The sequence below is a fragment of the Homo sapiens genome, chromosome 4, assembly GCF_000001405.40.
Source record: "Homo sapiens chromosome 4, GRCh38.p14 Primary Assembly".
Lineage (NCBI taxonomy): Eukaryota > Metazoa > Chordata > Mammalia > Primates > Hominidae > Homo > Homo sapiens.
In genome coordinates this window covers 95,275,124-95,296,842 of record NC_000004.12, presented here as the reverse complement: position 1 = coordinate 95,296,842, position 21,719 = coordinate 95,275,124, and the positions used below count along the sequence as shown (strand labels likewise).

The 21,719-nt window shown below is 37.6% G+C and overlaps 1 protein-coding gene across 4 annotated transcripts in view; it reads left to right on the top strand.

Moving 5' to 3' along the window:
• UNC5C (unc-5 netrin receptor C) overlaps positions 1-21,719 on the top strand; it is a 386,470-nt gene that overhangs the window by 252,131 nt on the left and 112,620 nt on the right. For all 4 annotated transcript variants that reach the window (NM_003728.4, XM_005263321.4, XM_047416346.1 and 1 more), the window contains one exon: positions 18,481-18,584. In NM_003728.4, the coding sequence (NP_003719.3) occupies positions 18,481-18,584 (104 nt within the window). The remainder of the gene's footprint in view (positions 1-18,480; positions 18,585-21,719) is intronic.

Sequence of the window (21,719 nt, the reverse complement as noted above, 5' to 3'; positions counted from 1 at the left end):
TACTTTTAATCATGTTTAAAAAGAACAAAAAGCAAATGTTTCAGTCAAAGATTTAATTGAATTCAAAATCAGTTTCAAACTGTAATCAAAGGAGGCACAAGGAAAGAAAGCTATTCTTTTATCTTTCATTTCTATGTATTCATTAATAGCAAGCACAATATATACTTAAAATTGCCAGTCTACATTCCACACTACATTGACTTGCTAAAGCTGAACTTTAAGAGCTGCATAGTTTCAAATAATGAATTTTTAGTTAATAAGCCTTCAATTTTCAGTAATTTGCAGAGACCATTGTTGTGCCAATTTCATATATATATATAATTATATGTGTTTGAGTAGATATATTCTTTTTCAGCACACAAACATTAAGTACATATAGGTATAAGACCCCTTTCTTTGCAGTATGTTCTATAAACTTTGCTATTTACTTCATGGCTTTTCAATCTATTTTCAAATAAAAAAACAAACTCTTCTTCTAGGTCAACATTATTTATCCAAGGTACCTTTTCACCCTCATGTAATAATATTCAAGAGCAGTTCACCTATAATTCTGTAGCTAACTGAACTCATATGTGTGTACCGAAGGAACCCCACCTAACTTGTAAAGATTGACTCATAAAGATATGCATCATAATGAGAACAAAAAAGGTTGAATTTTCAAATTCTCTCTGTACAGGCTGATCCTTATCATTAGAAGCCCCTTGCTAATGTTGCAGAAGTTTGTGGGGTTTTTAGTTTTTGGTTTTTGTTATTTTTTGAGAGAAAGTCTTGCCCTGTCCCAGACGGGAGTGCAATAGCACAATCTCGGCTCATTGCAACCTGTCTCCTGGGTTCAGGTGATTTTCCTGCCTCAGCCTCCCCCCCATGTAGCTGGGATTACTGGCATGCACCACCATCCCTGGCTAATTTTTGTATTTTTAGTAGAAATAGGGGTCCCTCCATGTTGCCCAGGCTGGTCTCGAACTGGTGAACTCAAGCAATCTGCCTGTCTCAGCCTCCCAAAGTGCTGGGATTATAGGCGTGAGCCACTGTGCCCAGCCACTTATGGGTTTTCTACTCTGTCCTGTATCAAGTGAACTGTGGTGCTCTGCCCAGTAATACTTGACCGAGGGCCATCACATAAATGGCAACTTAAGTTTAAACTCATCAGAGGTGAAGATCACCACGATGCTAAACTTAAATAAGTATGATTACCTCTTACCTAATTAGATTTATGCTCATTTGATGTACTGTGGAGGGGCCCATAGTTCTTTCATGAAAAAGCTCTATTTTCAGTTTATAAACCATAAATGAATATTGACTATTAATTTATGTATTTAAGCTTGCTTACAATATTTCACACATTCAAACCATGTAAAATGTAAAAATAGGTTTGTGAGACAATCAAGGCAGAGGAAAAAATGGAAATATGAAAGTTAGGATTCAGCCAGGCTGTGCTGAGAACATAACACATCTGCTTTAAAATCCTGCACATTAACAAGACAGCAGTGCCAAATTTCCTAGGCGGGTCTGGTAGTTTTCATTCAGAGAAAAGTTTATTCTGAGAGAATTCAAGTTGCCACTACAATGGTGTCCTGTGCAGAACCCTTACTGTAATACAGCTCCCAGTGTCATCATGGGGTTGTTTCTTCCAGTGTCTCTTGTTACAGGCTGATGAGTGAATCCCAAAGCTTAAGGTTCAGGCAAAATATTAACATACAAGGTCTTTCCTCAGGAACAATTTGGGTTTCAATAGTGCCGCTCTTGATGTTACCATTGTTGACAATGTTGTGATTGTGTTGTGGGGGTAAGGATATGATGGAAAAAGCAGCATAGGAGACTGGTTAATAGCACAAGCTGAGGGACAGATTGACTCATGTTCGAATCCTAGTGCCATGACTTCCTACTGTGACCTTAGTCAAGTTACTTGACCTCTGGGAGCCTTAGTTTCATCAACCATAGCATGAAAAAGAGTTATTTTAAGATTAAATGAGATAAACTTGTAAAACATATGACATAGTGCCAGACACAGTGCAAATGCTCAGCGAATGATAATAGGTGTTCATAAAAATGGATATAACCATTTTAAACAACTTTATATGTTTATTTTGAAACATCAATACTGAGCAAACTTTGAAAACTGAAAAGTCTGTCTTTCCTTTACCATTTCATGTCCCAGGGCTAGACTGTCAATCCTAGAGGTTGAAATTCTCTGCTGATTCACATAAAATTTGACTGTAATTTCCAACCCCTTCTGCCCATGCCTGAGGATGGAAGAACATGCCATATGGTCACCCTTATCCTACAGTCATGAGCTATAATGGGATTTACATGCACCCAAGATTCATCTTCCGGGGAACAGCAGGATGGCTCCTCCGGATTTCCTCTCGATCGTGTGTGCAAACCAATAAATCACAGCCAGCATCACAAAGCCTGCTGGCCACAAAGAGGAATAAGGTAGTTCCTAGAAAGAATTAAGGATGATCAAGGTGGCCCCTCCTGGCTTCCTCTCACAGCTCACTCATCATTTTCACTGAGAGAATAACTACATTTGTGACCCACCTGTGGATTTGGATCAAGTCTTGTTCATATTCGTGAGTCTATAGTATCCAGCACACTGTCTAAAACAGCAGCGTCCAATAGAAATATGCCAGCCACAAATACTGTTTACACTTTTCTAGTAGCCACAATTTAAAAAGAAACAGATAAAATTATTTCGGTCATGTATTTCACTGAGTCCAGTATGTCTAAACTATCATTTCAACAGTATTACCAATATCAACAAGTATTTATGAAATACTTTTCTTTCTTTTTGTCATACTGGTTTTTCAGAGCTAGTGTGTGTACCCTTACAATAGCTTCAGTTATGACCAGCTACAGGTCAAGTGCTTGAAAGCCTCATGTGGTTTGCATTGGACAGATAGGCTCCAGAATAATAATACTGATAATAATGGAAGTGCTGTTTCAATCATGTATTATGTATTAGATCATTCAGTCTTTGCAAGGACTCTATGTGATGAGTGTTATTATTATTCCCATTTTATAGACAAGGAAATTGAGAGCAACGGGAGATTAAAAATCGCCTGAGGTTATACAGGTGGTATATGGAGCAGTGAGTCAGGCCAGCATCCAAGTCCATGTGTTTAACCAGTACACTGGGTACAAAGAAGGGAGGAGGAGACAAGGATTTGTAGATCAGCTGGCAATTCACAAAAACATCTTATTCTCTACATGCATAATGTTTATAACTGGTGCAATGTCTTACGTTGTAATCCCAGCACCTTGGGAGGCCAAGGTGGGAGGATCACTTGCACATAGGGGTTTGAGACCAGCCTGGGCAACATAGCAAGACCTTGTCTCTAATAAAAGCCAAAAAAAATTAACCAAGTGTGGTGGTGTGCACCTGTGATCCCAGCTGGGATACTACTGTCAGCCCAGAAGGCTGAGGCAGGAGGATCCCTTGAGCTCAGGAGGTCAAGGCTGCAGTGAGCCATGATCACACCACTGTACTCCAGCCTGGGTGACAGTGAGATCCTGTCTCAAAAAAAAAAAAAAAAAAAAAAAAAAAGCTCACTATTATTTATAATACAGAAACATAAACAGACCTTGGCTTCCTGCCTCTCTTCTTATTGCTTTGTCTGCTCTAACCACATCCATTTCCTTGTTTCCAGAATGCAATAGATTCATTCCACATATAGGCTGCTTGCAAGAACTGTTTCTTCTCACTTGAAACATTCTTACCCCAAGTCTAAAACTGGCTTACTTTCTTCTTTCATTCAGATTTATACTGAGATGTCACTCCTATAGAGGGGTCTGTCTATCCGGGCCTCAACCCTGTCACTTGCCTAATCCTAATCCTGCTTTATTGTTCTCCATAACATTTTTCTTCATCATTATTTGTTTTCTTTTGAGTTAACCATCTGCCATACCAGAATGTAAGCTTCACAAGGACAGAGACTTTCTTTTCTTCCTTGTTGTCTCCAGTGCCTAGAAGACGTCCCTTGCCTGTGGCTGCTGATAAATAAATTAAAACATAAAAAAATGAAATAAAATTGAATTAAATTGAAAGTACATGATGGGGAAAAGTGAAGATACTATTCAATGTGAATCATTTGTTCATTTAATAAAAATACTTTTTTTCCCCAAGGAATTCAAGAACATCAGGTAGCTGGACGTAATTGCCTCTACACTCTTGTACTTATTACGTTTCTGCATAGCACTTCTCACCTTCTAAACCATCATACATTTACTTATTTATTAGTTAATGGTTTGTATTCTGTACCCCCTCACCCCCTTAGAAAGTAAGGTCCACATAGGCAAAGATTTGGGTTTGGTTTTTTCACTGATTAATTCAAAACGCCTAGGGTGATTCCTGTCACAATGTAGGGACTCAAGAAATATCATAAAGGAATGAATGAATTGACATTTCTGTATTTAAGTATCTCCAGTTAAATATATATGTAATCTCCGGGAGGCTGAAGCAGGAGAATGGCGTGAACCTGGGAGGCAGAGCTTGCGGTGAGCTGAGATCGCACTACTGCACTCCAGCCTGGGTGACAGAGCAAGACTCCATCTCAAAAAAAAACAAAAAAAATTTATATATATATATATATATATATATATATATGTGTGTGTGTGTGTGTGTGTATATATATGTATATATATGTGTATATATATATGTAATCTCATGAATTATTATATTGGTTCACATGTACAGAAGTCCTGATTTGTGGCCTTATGTGTTACTTTTTTATTTTCTACCTGTCTACTCTACTTGGCATAAAACAAAATTAATTATACAATTTAACAAAAATAATGCATTTCTTTAAACAAGCATCCTGAAAGATGAAGGTCATACTATAAACAGTTCTAGTAGCCTAACACCAAATGTACTGGCAGGATTCAGCAGGCTCCCCTGTACACCAGAATAAATGGCATTTTTACTAAGGTACATTTCTGAGTTGTAGTATGATACCTTGTATAACAACCATTAAAGCCCACATTAATCCAATTATAAGTAACAGAGGCCATATTTTGAATTGGATAAGATTAAATATATACTTTAGACATTTTTAGATAAGGGAAAAATATTTAAACAATAAATTAATTAATACTCTTGTTTTATATAAATCTTGACAGTTGTATTATCAGGTTATTCCTATTTCAAGATTAAATATTATAATGTATACCTGATTGTGTCAGTCTATATTTTTTCAAACATATTTGCTTTTGTAGATGGTCAGAAGTTCCCAAGTTTCATGGATGCCCCACAAATTCTTAGGCATTTATAGCTCATATTTATTCTGAGAGGTAGACAACGAATTCATAGAACACAGTCTCATAAGTCATATTTTGGGGGAAATCATCTATACGTATGTTATAGGCAGGGCTGGTAACACACTGGACAAAAATGTGTTATTAAAGTATGTTTTATGCTGTATGAAAAGTGAAGTTTATGGCTAAAATGCTTATTTGCAAGAAAACAGCTTGTCTGCAATCATTGCATTCTTTTTTTTGTACTCTGAGAAAAGAGCCTTAGCTTTTTGGTATGTCAGTTTCCTCATCCATAAAGTTGGCATATTTCTTATTATTTATCCCTAAGACATACCTTAAAAAATACTGTGATGACATATAATCATTTTTTTTCTGAAACTAAAGATGCATTTTGAATATAAAAGAGTGGCTTGTATGGATTTTTTTTCTTCCTCTTTTCTGTAGTGGATGTCATTTGGAGTGCTAGCTGAAATATTTATTTTTTTAAAAAACTCTTTAACAAGACTATCTGAATACAAATGTGTTTGTCCTATAAATGCCCAAAAGTCAAGAAATAACGAAGAATGGCTGAAATTGTCCTCCCTTCTAAAGAGTCTTTGTTCCCTGGAATTTCTCTCATTTAAATGATCTCAGTGCAGTAAGTGATAGCCAGGGCTTGGCACGACTGAAGAAATTACCAAGCTTACCTTTCTGCTGACTTGCTGCAGATCATTCTAACCGCTCTTCCTGGTTATGAGTTATGATATTATGAAAGTGTTTGTGGTAAATTCCTAAGAGAGAACGAAAACTTTACCCCTTACAAAAGCAAAATGCGGTTATAAAACAACAGGAAAAAAATCAAAGTCGATTGTCCTTATTCTTTCTTCTTTAGTCTCTGTCCTAGTAGCCAACATTTATTATATGCTTACTGTATGCCTAACTCTGTTATAAGACCCTTGTTCATGTTAACTATCATAATCTTCATACGACATCCTATGAAGTAAGTTCTGTTATCTTCATTTTGTAAATAACAAAACAGAATCATGGAAATATTAGCTAACTTGCCCATGTCACCTGTTTAGGAAACACTGAATCTGAATTTTAAACAAACTTTTCTCTTTGCAGTCCAGTTCATTGCACACAGTTGCAAAAAACATACAACCATTCTTGACTTTTCAAACTATAGAGGGAACTGCATATAGTTGATTTTTGTTTGTTTTATTGTTTACAATATTTGAGAAGGAAAGATAAGTTAAAAAAAAAAAAACACCACCAAACTTTTTATTTCTTTAATTTGTTTTTTCAGAGACAGGGTCTTGCTTGTCATCCAAACTGGACTGCAGTGGCATGAGCATAGTTCACTGCACCCTTAACTTTCTTGGGCTCAAGCGATCCTCCCACCTCAGCCTCCCTAGTATCTGGGACTACAGATACCTACTACCATACTCTGCTAGTTTTTCTATTTTTTGTAGAGATGGGGGTTCTCACTTTGTTGCTCAGGTTGATTCCAAACTCCCTGGCCTCAAGCGATCCCCAATCTTGGCCTCTCAAAGTTCTGGGATTATAGGTATGAGCCACTGCACCGAGCTTCAATTTTTAAAATATTCTATAACCTTTATATTTACAAACCACAATAAGAGTTGCTTAGCATAATAATATTTTTCTTTATTTTTAAAAATTCCAGCAAAAATCAGATACTCTATTCCTGGAAAAGAAAACCATAGCTAACATTTCAGGGCTCTATGGCATTAAGTCAGGCATTTTTCACTTTTAATAAATGCCCAAAGCTCTGAAGGCCAATCTAGTTCTTCCAAAATATGCTTCACTGTTTGGTTCACAGCAGTTATTTCCTGTTAACAGCCAGATTTGGTGATTTAAGCATAAATTCTAGTCTGCTATGACAACATAATTAGCACTTTCCATCATTATTGGAAGAAAGATACATTTTTTTCCCTTTAAGAACACAGTATTATTACTTTGAGTGACCATGAAATCATTTGCTAGAGGAGCACTTTGAAAATATATTAAAACAGCTTTTTTTAAAAAAATATTAGAATGTGTTCAACACCATTGTTCAGTGAGTGTGTAAAAAGAATTAACTGAAAAGCACCTGAAAATATGAAAATGTGAATCATAGTACAGCAGCTGTATTTGCTTAATGCAGGGTCAGGCCTAGGTCAGAAAGTGAGTAAGCTGGCCAGCAGCAGATAACAACATGAAGCTCTTCTAAGTACAGAATTTCCACAGATCGAGGGCCTTTTTGTCAAGACCAGTTCAATTTGGGAAGCAAGAAGCTTATTTCTGATATTTGGAGTTTGGCTTCTTAGTAAAATTTAAAGAAATAAATATCAGTACAACCATCAACTCTGTGAACACTTGACAGCAATGCTGATTTAGGGGCTGGAGGAAGTGGGTATGTAAATGAGTACATTGACAGAGGACTCTTTATGTAACTGCACTGTCCTAAGTGTGCTATTTATATTACCTTTTAAAATCATCACAGTAATCCTATACAATATGTAATAGAATTATCTTCATTTTATGGATGAAGAAATGAAAACATAGCAACCTCAGTAAGTACAGAACTAGGATTAAACTATGGCAGAGCAGATCCAGGCTCCATGCTTGTAACCACCACAGCAGGATAGATAATGACCCCCAAAGGCATCAGGTCCTAATCTCTGGAATTTGTAAATATTAACCTTATGTGGAAAAAGGATCTTTGCAGATTTGGTTAAGAATCTTGAGATGGAGAGATTTTCTGACATTGCCCAGGTGGGCTTTAAAGGTCATCACAAATGCCTTGTAAGAGAAAGACAAAGGGAGATTGACACAGATTGAAGAAGAGAATGCAGTGTAACCACAGAGGTAGAGATTAGAGGGATGTAGCCACAAGCCAAGGAATGCCATCAGCCACTGGAATCTGGGAGAGGCAAGTCATGGTCTCTCCCTAAGAAACTCCAGAGGGAGCGCATAATCCTGCTGTCCCTTTGATTATGGCTCAGTGAAACTGATTTCAATTATTTGGCCTTTAGAACTACAAGTGAATATATTTCTGTTGTTTTAAGCCAGGAAGTTTGTGGAAATTTCCACTGGAAACAAATACAGCTGCTACGCGGCATCCATTTTCCAGCAAATTCACATCATGGAGTAATCCACTTCTAAATAGCTGGTGAGCTTGAATGAGTGAGTTAGCCTCTCACAGTTCTAGTTATATAATCTGTAAAGTGCTGGGCACGGTGGCTCACGCCTGTAATCCCAGCAGTTTGGGAGGCTGAGGCAGGCGGATCACAAGGTCAGGAGATCAAGACCATCCTGGCTGGCACGGTGAAACCCCGTCTCTACTAAAAATACAAAAAAATTAGCCAGGCATGGTGGCGGGTGCCTGTAGTCCCAGCTACTCGGGAGGCTGAGGCAGGAGAATGGTGTGAAACCAGGAGGCAGAGTTTTCAGTGAGCAGAGGTCGCGCCACTGCACTCCAGCCTGGGTGACAGAGCGAGACTCCCTCTCAAAAAATAAATAAATAAATAAATAAATAAATAAATAATCTGTAAAGTGAGGGGGTTGGACTATGTGACTTGTAAGACATTTTATAGTTATATATCATAAGGGAAATTGTTTCCAGGCCTTCAGTAAAGGGAATTGCCAGATTATTTTGGGAACTGAATTTAACTCAGCATTTACTAAGGCACTGCTATATACCCAGCACCAAGCACCAAGATTTATTTGATCTCAAAGTATTTTTTAAATTTTAATATGTAGCATTCAAGGCTGGGATTAAGTTTGTTTTTTGAAGTAAAACTAAGCAGTGACATGATATCGGATAAAAACATGGCCATAACTGTGCAGGCACATTGCATATCAGGAGTTTCTGTGCAGTGAACTCTAGGCTGAGGATGCAGATTCATTGCATCTTGCCTGTTAATCCCTGCTCCGCTGTGGCCTCCCAGAGTCCTGTGTTGGAGCAGATCCTGAAGCTAAATCCAGACTCTGGAGAAAAGAATATCGTGGTCAGTTAGGTATAGACACACGAGCTGGAAGGGAATGTAGTGGTTCCAAATATTTGCCATTCCTACTCTAAAGAACAATAATTCAGATCATAACCACTCTTAACTGTTTCCTGCTATACCTGAAAGAGCTTCAGGTTTTTCTTCAAAGCAATTGTAGAAATGACAACATTGGTTCCGAAAAGAATGTAGAGACATTTTTATTCTAAGTAATCATCAAGAATTACAGAAATGACTGCAAAGTGTCTTTTCAGCCATCAAGAAGCTTTTTCTTTTCCTAACTCAGGTGCTATTGGTTTACATTTATTAAAAATGTCAGCTAATCTTCTGAAGTGCCCACATTTATGGCCTAACATTCCTTCTGAAAGTAGGTAAAGGAGTATAAGTGAATAATTATAAAATATGAATTTATGAAATGTTATGTATGCAATCCTACTAACAAAAACAGCTTTACTCACCAACATCTCTTGTTGGCTTTCTTGGTTAAGTGTCTGACAGTCAGAAGCAAAAGGCTCTGGGGATTTTCTCTTGAGGTGAGAGAGAGGCCACAAGAAACATTAAGGTAACTTGACACTTTCAGCATTGAACTATCTGGACCATTGGTCTCAAAGTAGCAGTCCACAGGTGCAATATGGCATCCCACTTTTTTGGTTTAGTCCTCAAAATGTTGGCCCACACAAGTATTTTGATAAAGTTTTAAGTAGCTGACAACATATACAGTTAGAAAAAAAAATCTCATAAAACTCCATATTACCAACTTCTGTTAGTCATCAGATTTGGGGTCTGTGGCCCATTGAGCCTGCATTCCTATTGGCACCATGCAGCCGGAGCTAAGTAACGAGAGTAAAGAGGAAGCTGATTGATTGGTTTTGTACCCACATCTCCATTAAAAGTTAGAAACAAAAGACAACCCAGGTAGGTGTCATGTTTCAAGAAAAAAAATCTTATGCCTAGCTTTCTCCCATTTGTTACCTGAATGGCCCCTGGAGACATATGAAACTCAAGTCCTGTGCTAGACAATGTCAGCCATCAGCTGGTACAAAAGTGAGCTCTGGGACTCTGTGGACACACCAACACGGACCCAGTAAAGCAGGCATTTAGAGCCACCGTGCAGAAGCAGATCTGCATGGCTCCCCACAGCCTCCTACAGTGCCCACAGTGCCATGCGTAACTTGGTGTTCCATAATCAACGAATCAATTCATCAACCAGTGCTTCTCAGATTTTAGTGTTATGCAGAAAACACACCTGTGGAGTTTGTTAAAACTGTAGATTCCCAGGGCCCAACCTGAGTGTGGAATCTGCAGTTTAATCAAGCACAGCAGGGTAATACCTGCATATCTCTTTATGAAACATCACCTTCAATTATTAGCCCTCCCAATTGCTTTGTCTCACTTGGTTATGTTTATTTTGATTAGTAGTGATAACAGTAGATGTATAGCCTAATAAAATTTATTAATACTTCGGGGAAAAAGTAGAGTGGGGGATTATTATCTTTTGGGCACTTACTATATGCTAGGCATGTGCTTAGAATTTTATAGGTGACCTTTCCTATATAACCCTGTGAAATTATACCCATTTATAAGCTGATGAAACTAAGGCAGGAAGAGGTTAAGCAATGTGCTTAAGGTCAAATGGATAGTCAAGTGGTAGGGTCAGGACCTAAACCCAGGGTTTTGTATGCCAAAACCTTGTTCTCAGCCACAGTGTTAGCCTACCCAGTGGTTTTCAGACCTTTTTGACTTACAATAAAAAATAGGTTGATATCATGATCCACTAGACACATACCCGCATCCTTACACACAGAAACATATGAGTGTATATACACAAACACATCTATAAGACTATGTATATCTTGATAACTTCTGTTCATTCAGTTTCACACTTTTTAATGCTGGGTTTTAATCCACTGAATAGATGTTGTAACCCTCTCAAGGGTCATAACACTCAGTTTGAAAAACAGCAATAAACCTGAAATTCCATAAGAACAATAAGGAATATTAGATACTATAGTTTATGGACCTTATGGCCAAAGTGTGTGTGAGAATTATGTGTACAAAATTTATGCAGATGAGTAATCACCTTTCATTTCAGAACTCTCTGAGTAATAATAAATGTAATTATAATAATTTATTACATACGTTGTGCTTTATAATTTTCCAAACTTTTCAGATTCAATATCTATTTTAATATTCACAAAACCTGATGAAGTCTAAAAAAAGAACAACAGTAATAATGTAACATATCATTTATGTCTTATCATTCTGTGGAATTTAAGGATTTAGATTTCCACTAGAATAGTCTATTGAAGTATACCCATTGAAGAATTACTTGCTTCATAATATCAGTCTATCACATCACCAATATTTTGTTTTCTTAAAAAAAGTTATTATGTGCTTAACGATGGATAGAAAAAAATATTTTATTCTAATAAATAAATCTTTCTGCATAATGAAGTACCTTTGGTGAGATAATAAATATTTAATAAATGTAAATCATTTTTAAATTAGAATAAAACATGCTTATCTTCTTCAAGGCAATAGTATCCACAACCTGCCTGCTTAGCTAACACAGGGAGATGCTTTTGCTGATATTTTCTCCTAGTCTTCTAAAATCAGCAGGGCTCAAAGGTGGAGAGATGTTAGTATGACCCATGACAATAGAGCCTCCACTTTCCTATTATAGGTCACACTCACCCTTTTCAGACAGTGACAGGCAAAGTTGCTCAAGAGATGGCACTGGGAAGAGGCAGGATGTTCTGCCCCTTTTGTAAATACGCACATTGGCATGACAGGCTTTCTTCCACACTGTTTTGGATAGGCATTTTCCTCCCCTATCCTCTCTGTCCCATGGAGACAGACAATTAGTTTTGTCAAAATAATTCTTAGTGCATTTACAATCATCAGGGCCTGAATTTTCATCTGCTTTTGTGGATTACATTATATTACTCTCCAGGATTTATACAAAGAATTTGCTAATTTTTTTAAATACCAAATTTCTGTAACCCACTTCTCTCCCTAGTTTCTAACTCTTACTCACACCTGTAGATCCAAGTGTCCAAAAAGTTCTGTGAAAGTCGTTCTGAGGAGAATATTATAAGCTGTTGTCTTCAAAGATGCGTCAACTCCTTGACTTTTGAAATAATTTCTTCTATTATTTCTCTTGGACACATAATGGCAACCAAGAAGTACCTTACTCCACAAAGGATAAGCTTTTCCCCCCTAAAATGTGTATTTAAAATCTCAGTCTGTTCAGTAATAGGTCCTTACAGCAAAATCATCCTTCAGAATTATCTAGTAATTCATTTTCATTTCGTAAATATGGAAACTGAAGGCCAGAAAATCTGTCTCCCAGTGAGTCTTCTTTTCTGCTAACTGCATTTTTTTGTCAAAAAGCAGAGCTAATGTTTGCAGAATGCCATGAATCATGTATTCTGCATCACAGCTAATTTGTAGCCACAGTATATTGTGCAAAAAAAAAATCACTGAAAGCATCAAAATTCTACCACCCAAAAAATGAGACTTTGTATGCACATGTGTGTGTCCAAAGGGACTTTCTTTGGTTATGTATAAATGGAAAATAGAAATCTATATTGTTTCAGGTCTGATTCTACATCTGCTAATTGGATTTCAGTGTATGGATTTATTAAGCCAATATTCATGTTCTTAAGTAAACATCTCTCTGAAAGCATACATATGACGATAGCTTTTAATTGGCAGAATCAATGACTAAATTAGATGCATGCCAAGTTGACTTTGCAAAAGTAATCTAGGTTATTAATGAAAGGACTTCATACTTAATTTTAGTAGCAGTCTTATAACTAATGGAAAGAAAGCAGAATGTAGAATCCTAAAGGTCTTCCAAGGGCAGAACTTCGTCTTTTTTTTCTGACAGGAATGGCCACATTATTCTGAACCATTCTGTTTTACATCTAATTCCCAGCTGACAAGTGTTCGTTTTTCATTCTTATTCATTCGTCACCCCTGTGTTCACTCTGCCTGCAAGGCAACTGGCCTGCCTTCTATCACATCTCTCCAGATGATAAAAGATATGCTTAAAATCTTATCTACCCTCCCTTCGCAGAGTAGCGAGGCAGCATGCTGAAATGAGCGGCTTCTGTGCTGCACGGCCGCGATATATCCTATGCTCATTACACAATCTGAAAGCCAGAGAGGAGGTTTTACGGCAGGAATTAAAAGCGTTTTTCAGGAAGAAGTATTGCCTTGTAGGGGGTTAAATGTGAGATCATTCTAGAAATTAGATAAAATTTACATAGAGCTTAAAGCCAAACCCTTAAAATAATTCTGTGGTATTCAGTGATGGTTTAGTTAAACCTGTCTCTGGAAGTAGATGCCTGTAGCTGTCGCCATTCTCAATTAGGAAATAAGGGCCTACATAAAATGTGCCTTTATATGGCAAGAATTAGAAAACTGTGCCAAAAATTGCACCATATTCTAAGAAGAATTACAGCATGCTGCACTCAAACCCACTGCCCGTTAATGGTGCTACTAACTTCTGTCACCTTAAAATTTTGGAAAAGAGTAGTAGATACCATTGGGACTTAGAAAACAATACCCCAAAATGAAGGCCTCAGAAGCAAAAGTTTTCTCTGACCTTCTCCTGCCCTCCTGTCTCTCAGTCCATTCTTCCCCAAGACCAGCCATGGAAAAGACAATCCCTCTTCCCCCGAGGCGAGTCATAGAAACCCCCTTAGTCCAAAACCAGCCACAAAACTGAAAAATATTATTCTAAATTTCCATCCTCCATTTTGTGTAAAAAGTGACCATAAAAAATTTATCTAACCTACCTTGTGTGATCATAGGTCATAAGACCCCCATTCCAGAGAGGGTCCTGCCTGACACCCAGATGAAGGAAGGAATGAATGCTCAGAGAGGCCAGGAAGAATCTAGACCCACAGTCTTGCTGGGCCTCTCCACTTAGTCTGTTAACATTAGGTCAGATTCTTTTTGTCCAATCATATTTCTACATGGCTGTCCAGACTTTGTTGAACGGAAGCATAAAAATGGACAATTATCCCTGGATCTTTATGTCTTCATTCCAAAGGCTCCCATGTGTACATGTTAAATAAAATTTGTCTGTCTTCTCTCCAATTAATCTGCCTTTTGTGACTTAGTTGATTTTCCAGTGAACCTTCAGAGGGCTAAGGAGAACTTTTCCCTCCGCCCCTACAGTACCCAGAATGGTCATTTCCCCACTTCCTGGCCACTCCTCATCACAACTTGGTTTCTGCTCCCGGTCACTCCTAAACTTCCCAGACCAATGACTTCTCTCCTATGAGTACTTCTGAGTCCTTCACTGCATTTCTCCTATTGACCTCCCCATTTTTTAAAATTTTATTTTCCTCTTGGCTGCTCTGATGCTAACTTCCTTGGGTTTTCTCCTACCGCTTTGTTCACTCTATATCATTGGATGACAGCTTTTCCTCTTGAATGTCACTGTCCTCTTTTTTTTATGCTGCAGTCTCTCCCTGGTGATGCCATCTGTTTCCAGTGCTTCAGCGATTGCCTAGTTGGTGAAGCACAAGAAATCCTACCAGGCCTTCTTTTCCAAGCCCTAGACCTGTGGTTCTCAACTGGGGGTGACTTTTCCCCTTAGGGGACATTTGGCATTGTCTGAAGGCACTTATTTTGTTAAGGTTGGGATGGGGTTCTAATGGTCTCTAGCAGGTAGAGTCCAGGGATGTTGCCAAGTATCCTGCTATGCAAAGAACAACTGTACCGCAAAGAATTACCCAGTCCCCAAAATTAAAAGGGTTGAGGTTTAGGAACCATGATCTAGACTACTATACTTTTCAGTTTGAATGTTTCATAGATATGCCAAACCTAACATGTACCAAAATGAATTTATCTTTCTCTCTGCTTCCCTGCCCATCTTGATACTATGCCACTCAGTGTTTGTACCAAGTTAACAATGCAGTAGCTGAGAATATAACATTATCCTTGCCTTCTGGCGCTCTCCAAATACCTACATCTTCTTCAAGGTATGATATATTTATTTCTAGAATTGCTTCCTCCTCTTCCTGTCCTCTATCACTAGCTGAGTTCAGGACCCCATCATCCCTCATGGTTTATTCAAATGAGTCCCTAACTAACTTCAGGCTCCTCACCACCGCCTCACTCCATCAGTCACTCTGATGGACACCCTTGTTCTCTGATCTTGCTCCTTTGAGGGTTTGCCTTTCCATAGCATGACAGAAAGGCTTTTCATAAGCACACCTCAGCTTACCTTTCTAGTCTTCTTTCTGTGTCTTGTACATCTTCATCCTAAGTACCTAATAAAATGTCTACCATATGGAGACAATGAATAAATGTTAAATGAAATTGCTCTATTTAAATACATATATGCCTTACTTTTTCTTGTTCTTAGCCCTCATTTTGTGATATCTTGATTAATTTAAATCAGAGTGAGTCACTATGTTATTTAATTTGAGAACTCATTCCAGTTATTATGTCTTTGCCCAACCCCACATCAGGCAGAAGTTTCTCAGAATCATTTTTTACAAACAAGATATACTTTGTCAAGAACATTGAAGCTCATAAATGATATTCACTGCTGCTCTTTTTATTGGTATCTGGTGTTTCATCAAATTTTATCTCAGTGCAGATCAAAAAAACAAGAGAAGCCACCACATCAGAAGAGAAAATTCTTAATGTTTCCATTGGAAGAGTACAAATTAACCAAAAGAGATGTCGGGGGATGTGTGGGGTGGCAAAATGTAGAAAATCCGTATCAGCAGGTTCTAAGGCAGCCATTGATTATTATGCTGTGAGGCTCCAGGTAATTTGGTCAACATGTTTTTTGGAAGTAAGATAATGACATGGTTTAGATAACTTTAAAGTTATGATAACTCTGTGGATTCCAAATGTTCATTTCTTGTTGTTGTTGTTGTTGTTGTTGAGATGGGGTCTCACTCTTTCACCCAGGCTGGAGTACAGTGGTGCAATCTTGGCTCGCTGCAACCTCCGCCTCCTGGGTTCAAGCAATTCTTATGCCTCAGCTTCCCGAGTAGCTAGGACTACAGGCCCACGCCACCATGCCAAGCTAATTTTTGTATTTTTAGTAGAGACTGGGTTTCACCATGTTGGCCAGGCTGGTCTCAAACTCCTGACCTCAGGTGATTCACCTGCCTTGGCCTCCCAAAGTACTGGGATTACAGGCATAAGCCACTGTGCCTGGCCCCAAATGTTCATTTCTACAATATATTCAATGTCTTGACAATCAAATTAGAAGCATTTTTCTGATAGAAATTCTATCACATTTGGAGGTCTCTTGTCTTGCCTCAGACCCTCATAGATCTATGATTTTCTCACAACCTTTATAATCTTGAGGGTTTTCTTCTGCTGAGAAATTCAACAATATGGCAAATGTGTAACAATGCAGTCCTTTCTCAGTGCATTTTTTTCCAGGTGCTTTCTGGTAGAGCTCTATTAGGGATATACCTTGCGAGCAGGGGTCACAACCCCTGGGCTGAGAACTGGTACTGGTCCGTGGTCTGTTAGGAGCTGGTCGCACAGCAGGAGGTGAGCAGGCTAGTGAGCATTAACACCTGAGCTCTGCCTCCTGTCAGATCAGTGGTGGCATTAGATTCTCACGGGAGCATGAACCCTATGTGAACTACAGATGCGAAGGATATAGGTTGCACACTTCTTATGAGAATCAAACTAATGTCTGATGATCTGAGGTGGAACAGTTTCATCCCAAAGCCATCCCCCCCATGCCCCGCCCCAGCAGTCAGTGGAAAAATTATCTGCCATGAAACCAGTCCCTAGTGTCAAAAAGGTTAGGGACCACTGCTCTAGAGTCTTCAGGTTTCCACTCGCTAGTTCAATCCACTGCAATGCTGCTTTCAGATTCTTATGTCTTTATCAGGGACCTGGGATAACAGAACAGAGGCATTAATTTTTTATTAAAATTCACTGGGTAAAATTCTAATAACTCTTTAATGGAAGGAACTGAACTGTACATGCATGAAATAAAATTTTTGTAGGCATTTTAAAAAAATGCTGCTTCAAAGTTCTATGATTAAATTAATTTTCTAACTTTAGAAATTAGACTAAATGTATATAGAGTTTAAAGCCAAACCATTAAAACAAAATAATTATATGGTATTCAGGGATGATTTAGTTAAACCTATCTCTTGAAGTATGTGCCTCTGATGTGTTTAAAATGACAAACTGGCTTCTAACATTTTTGTGCCCATCTAACAACAGTTTGTAAAACTCAGCTGCATACTCCTGTATCAACTATATCTATATAAATACATAATTAGATGCCTGGGATATGTGAGCAGAAATGACTAGTCTTCTAATTAAAGAATGGCCATATGATTAAATGTAGTGATATCTTGGGACTGTTCTCAATTCTCTTTTCTCTGCCTTGTACTTGAGACACCTGAAGAAGTTATGTTTCTTCCTTATAGATTCCAGCATTCTGTTTTCCACTTTGAAATGGAAACTCACTTAGAGTATTAATCAAAAGATTCCAGAGTTACTGGAGCTTCAGTAGTATCCATTGTGAGAAAAGAGGAAAATATGTATATACATAAGGGAATCTGTAGGCATAAGAATCAAGAGAATGGGGTTCTTTTGATTTAAAACTGTGATCATCATAATTGATGATCAAAAAATCCTAACAAAAAGCAATTAATGAACTTTATTAATTGTTAAAATAAGGACTGCCAAAGGCTTCCATTGAAGTTTAAAGTAGGAACAGTTCATAACCTCTGAATTTCACAATTTATTCCACATAATATAGTCACCAGATTATAGTAAAGTGCTAACAACATGTGGTTAAACAAAAATGCAAGTCCAGGCACCATGGCTCACACCTGTAGACCCAGCACTTTGGGAGGCTGAGGTGGGAGGATCACTTGAAGTCAGGAGTTTGAGACCAGCCTGGGAAACATAGTGAGACTCTATCTCTACAAAAAATTTTTTTAAAAAAATAGCCAAGCATGCTAGCATGCACCTGTAGTCCCAGCCACTCAGAAGGCTGAGGCAGGAGGATCGCTTGAGCCCAGGAGTTCAAAACTACAGTGAGCTGTGATCACACCACTGCACTCCAGCCTGGGACACAGAGTGAGACCCTGTCTCAAAAAAAAAAAGAAAAAAGAAAGAAAAAAAAGCACAGATAAAATACTAAGCCAGAAAATTTTTTGTACTCTCTGTAAATGAGAAAATGTTGTTTAATTTTGACATGTATTTTGTCACTTTTACGTTCCAGATCTACGGAAGACATTTGAGCAGGAACCCCTAGGAAAGGAAGTGTCTTTGGAACAGGAAGTCTTACTCCAGTGTCGACCACCTGAAGGGATCCCAGTGGCTGAGGTGAATAACAACAATTCTTTGCATTTAGCAATTGGCACTAAGTTATTCTAACAGAGGCCTAATCCATGGCTAATGGTGCAGTGAATTAGGGTATGGCATGATGAATGGTTGGTAATAGAGTCCTAACTGCCTGCTGCTGGCAAAATAGATTGATTGGGAACTGATTAATGACTTGGGAGTCAATTAGAATGCCCCATTGGACAAAGCCACAGGCAGCTTGGTTTAGTTTTGTCATTCTCTTTCAAGAAATCAGAAATACTGCTTTATTTTGTCTGGCACTTATCATAGAGAGATGGTATGACTTAACAATGTGCCATCAATTTTATTATTGTTCTTGCTGATATGCGAAAAATGTGAGTGTAAGAAGAGAGTGTGTTTTTCTGTGTCTGTGAGCCTGTGCACCTTACATATGTATTTTCCATTCCATGATGAAGTCATAGACATACCTAAAAGCCATGCCCACACACCTTGCATAAAAACACATTTTAGGAGTAAAAGGTGTCAATTAGTTTCATCCTATAAACTTTCCATCAAGTCCTACATTTTCCACTTTTTGTTTCTGCTAGAACAAAGCCTATTGGTTGCTAATGAAGTATTACAAATCAGATGCATACCATGACTTTTCATTAGCAACACACAATACCATGTCCTTTGAAAATATCTCTCTTTGGGGAAGAGGACTCTGTGACCCAGAAGAGATTGCAAGCACTCACCATCATCTTAGATCACACTGTTGAGGAAAACTAATACTGTGTCTTTCATTTGTTAACAAATAAATCCTAAACTCTAAAAACAGGTTACCCTTTAAATGATTATTAGGAGACATCCTTATATGCATCTGACACTATTGCCCTAATTGACCCCGTGTCCTACAAGTCCAAGCACACATTAATTTGACAAGTGGCATAGCTGCCAGTTTGGTGGTGGTCCTTGTTGGCCTCCAAACTACACTGAGTCATTTGAAAGTTTTACTCTCTATTGCATGTGTTGAAAGAGGCATATTTCAGTTGTTGCAATTGGGACCTATATATGGGTTCAATGTATATGAATTTTTAAAAATTAAGCCCTGAAGTTGTGCCTATCTCTGAAACGGAAAAATAATACTAATGAGACTTTCAACATAGTCCATAAAGCAATTAATAATTAATAATGTACTTACTATTTTACTTCTCATAGTTTTCCATTTTTTTCAAGAAGTAAAGATGGGGTCAGGTAGTTAGCTGGTCCCCTGACAACAAGCTCAAACATCTGATTGTTCTTTTAATAGTAATAATAATAATTAATTGAAAATTTAGGCAGAGTCCTTATGAAATAACCCCATTTTTCTATCACAGCCATTCATATCTCTATGAGTCAATGCAAAGAACTCAAAGGAAATTTTAATGAAATTCCTTTTTTTTTACTTTGAAAGAGAGTTATTTTTTTGCCTTAATTTGGCATCTCATGCCAATTGTATCAGAGATTTTGCTTGATAGTAGCTATTTCATTCAACAGCATCAAAACCTTATCTCGCAGCACTAAGACACAGTATGATTTAATACGACTAGGAAGGAGAAAACTCTTCTCTATTCAATATTTCATTTTGATAATGACAATAGTGCATATGTCTTCTTAATGGTATTTCTAAAATATTAATGCACACCTCCTCCATGAAACCACCTTAAAACCCAAAACAGATCATGAGCAACATGGGTATCCATGGCATCATTTTTGCTCAGGGCTTCTAAAAGGTAACTGATCCTTGCAAAGACTTTAGGTGGGGGGAGATCTTAGTAATTTCTTCATTTTTTTCAGTCTCCTTGACAAAGTAGTTCACTTTGTCAAGGAGTAAAGATTCATGACTGCAAACTAATTGGCTGTGAATTCTATTTGTATCATCACTAGGGAAGAGACCAATTAAAACTTGGCAAGCTCAAAAATCATATACCCATTTGACATTCAAAGAACTATATTTAATATGCATTTCTTTTTCATTTTTTAAAGTCAGAAGAGAGATCAAACATACATGCTCAAGAGCAGGCTAATAAATTCCTGTGTAGATTCTTTTCAACACTATTAAAATCACCAAGATCAGAAAACTAATGAATACCTTAACATGACATATTACAACTGCCATTTGCTCAAGAGGAGCAGATACGTTAAAAAAGAAAGGGATGAAAGGTAACTTAGTGAGTTAAAGGATTATACGACCATTTTCCTTCTAATATAAATGCATTCATTATTTAATATTTCATTTATTTGTTTAAAGAATCTTTAAGCATAAAAATAGGATAAAGTGAAATATTGATCTTAAAGGAAAACCAGCAGGTAAAACTCATGTGTTTTGTAATAATTAGATCAGTCGTTGGGAGATGAGGCCAGACTGGATTTGTGCTCCTTTTGTCTCCAAGGCAAATGATTCCAAGAAAGAGTCAGGCAAAATATGTTCAATGAACATATGGCTGATTGTTTCAATTGATCTTTGTTGTATAAGCATATGGCTAGTTCTATTGAGGAAGTAGTCAGGTACATTCTTTGCAGAATGTCAGGAAGCAGTAATTCCTTTTCTCTCCAAATCAATAAGTTTTTCAAGAACTCTAGTCTTAGTTTTGATATACCACTTTGGCTACAAATAATGGCATAGGCATTTCTAAGGTAATAATATTTTACTTCTTCCCTATTTTGGCATCCTATAGTCTCCACCATAGAATGTTTTCTAATTTTCTTACAGAATTCCAGGTTCAAACCCAAACATCACCATTTTTTACTTTGGCCAAAGTATTTAAATACTGTGAACCAAAGTATCCTCAACTATAAAGGGGAGATAATAATAGTGTCTTTGCAGAATGTGGTTGTGAGGTTTAAATGAGATAATATATGCAAATCACTTAGAACATGTCAAAAGCACTCAAGAAACATTGGTACTATTGTTATATTATAATTTTTTAATTCACACAAGACCAAACTCAACCTCTTAAATTCAAAATTCTTACTGAGTACCTTGCCCCTCTTCTTGGCACTGTGGGGTATGCAGAGGGGAAGCTTCTGTCACCAAGATTCTCTCCTATGTTCTCTAGTCAGTTGCTTTGGCTGGAGTCCACACACGCTACAAATGAAGACAATATTGTGAGCTTTAAAATAAGGAAATGCTCTTTC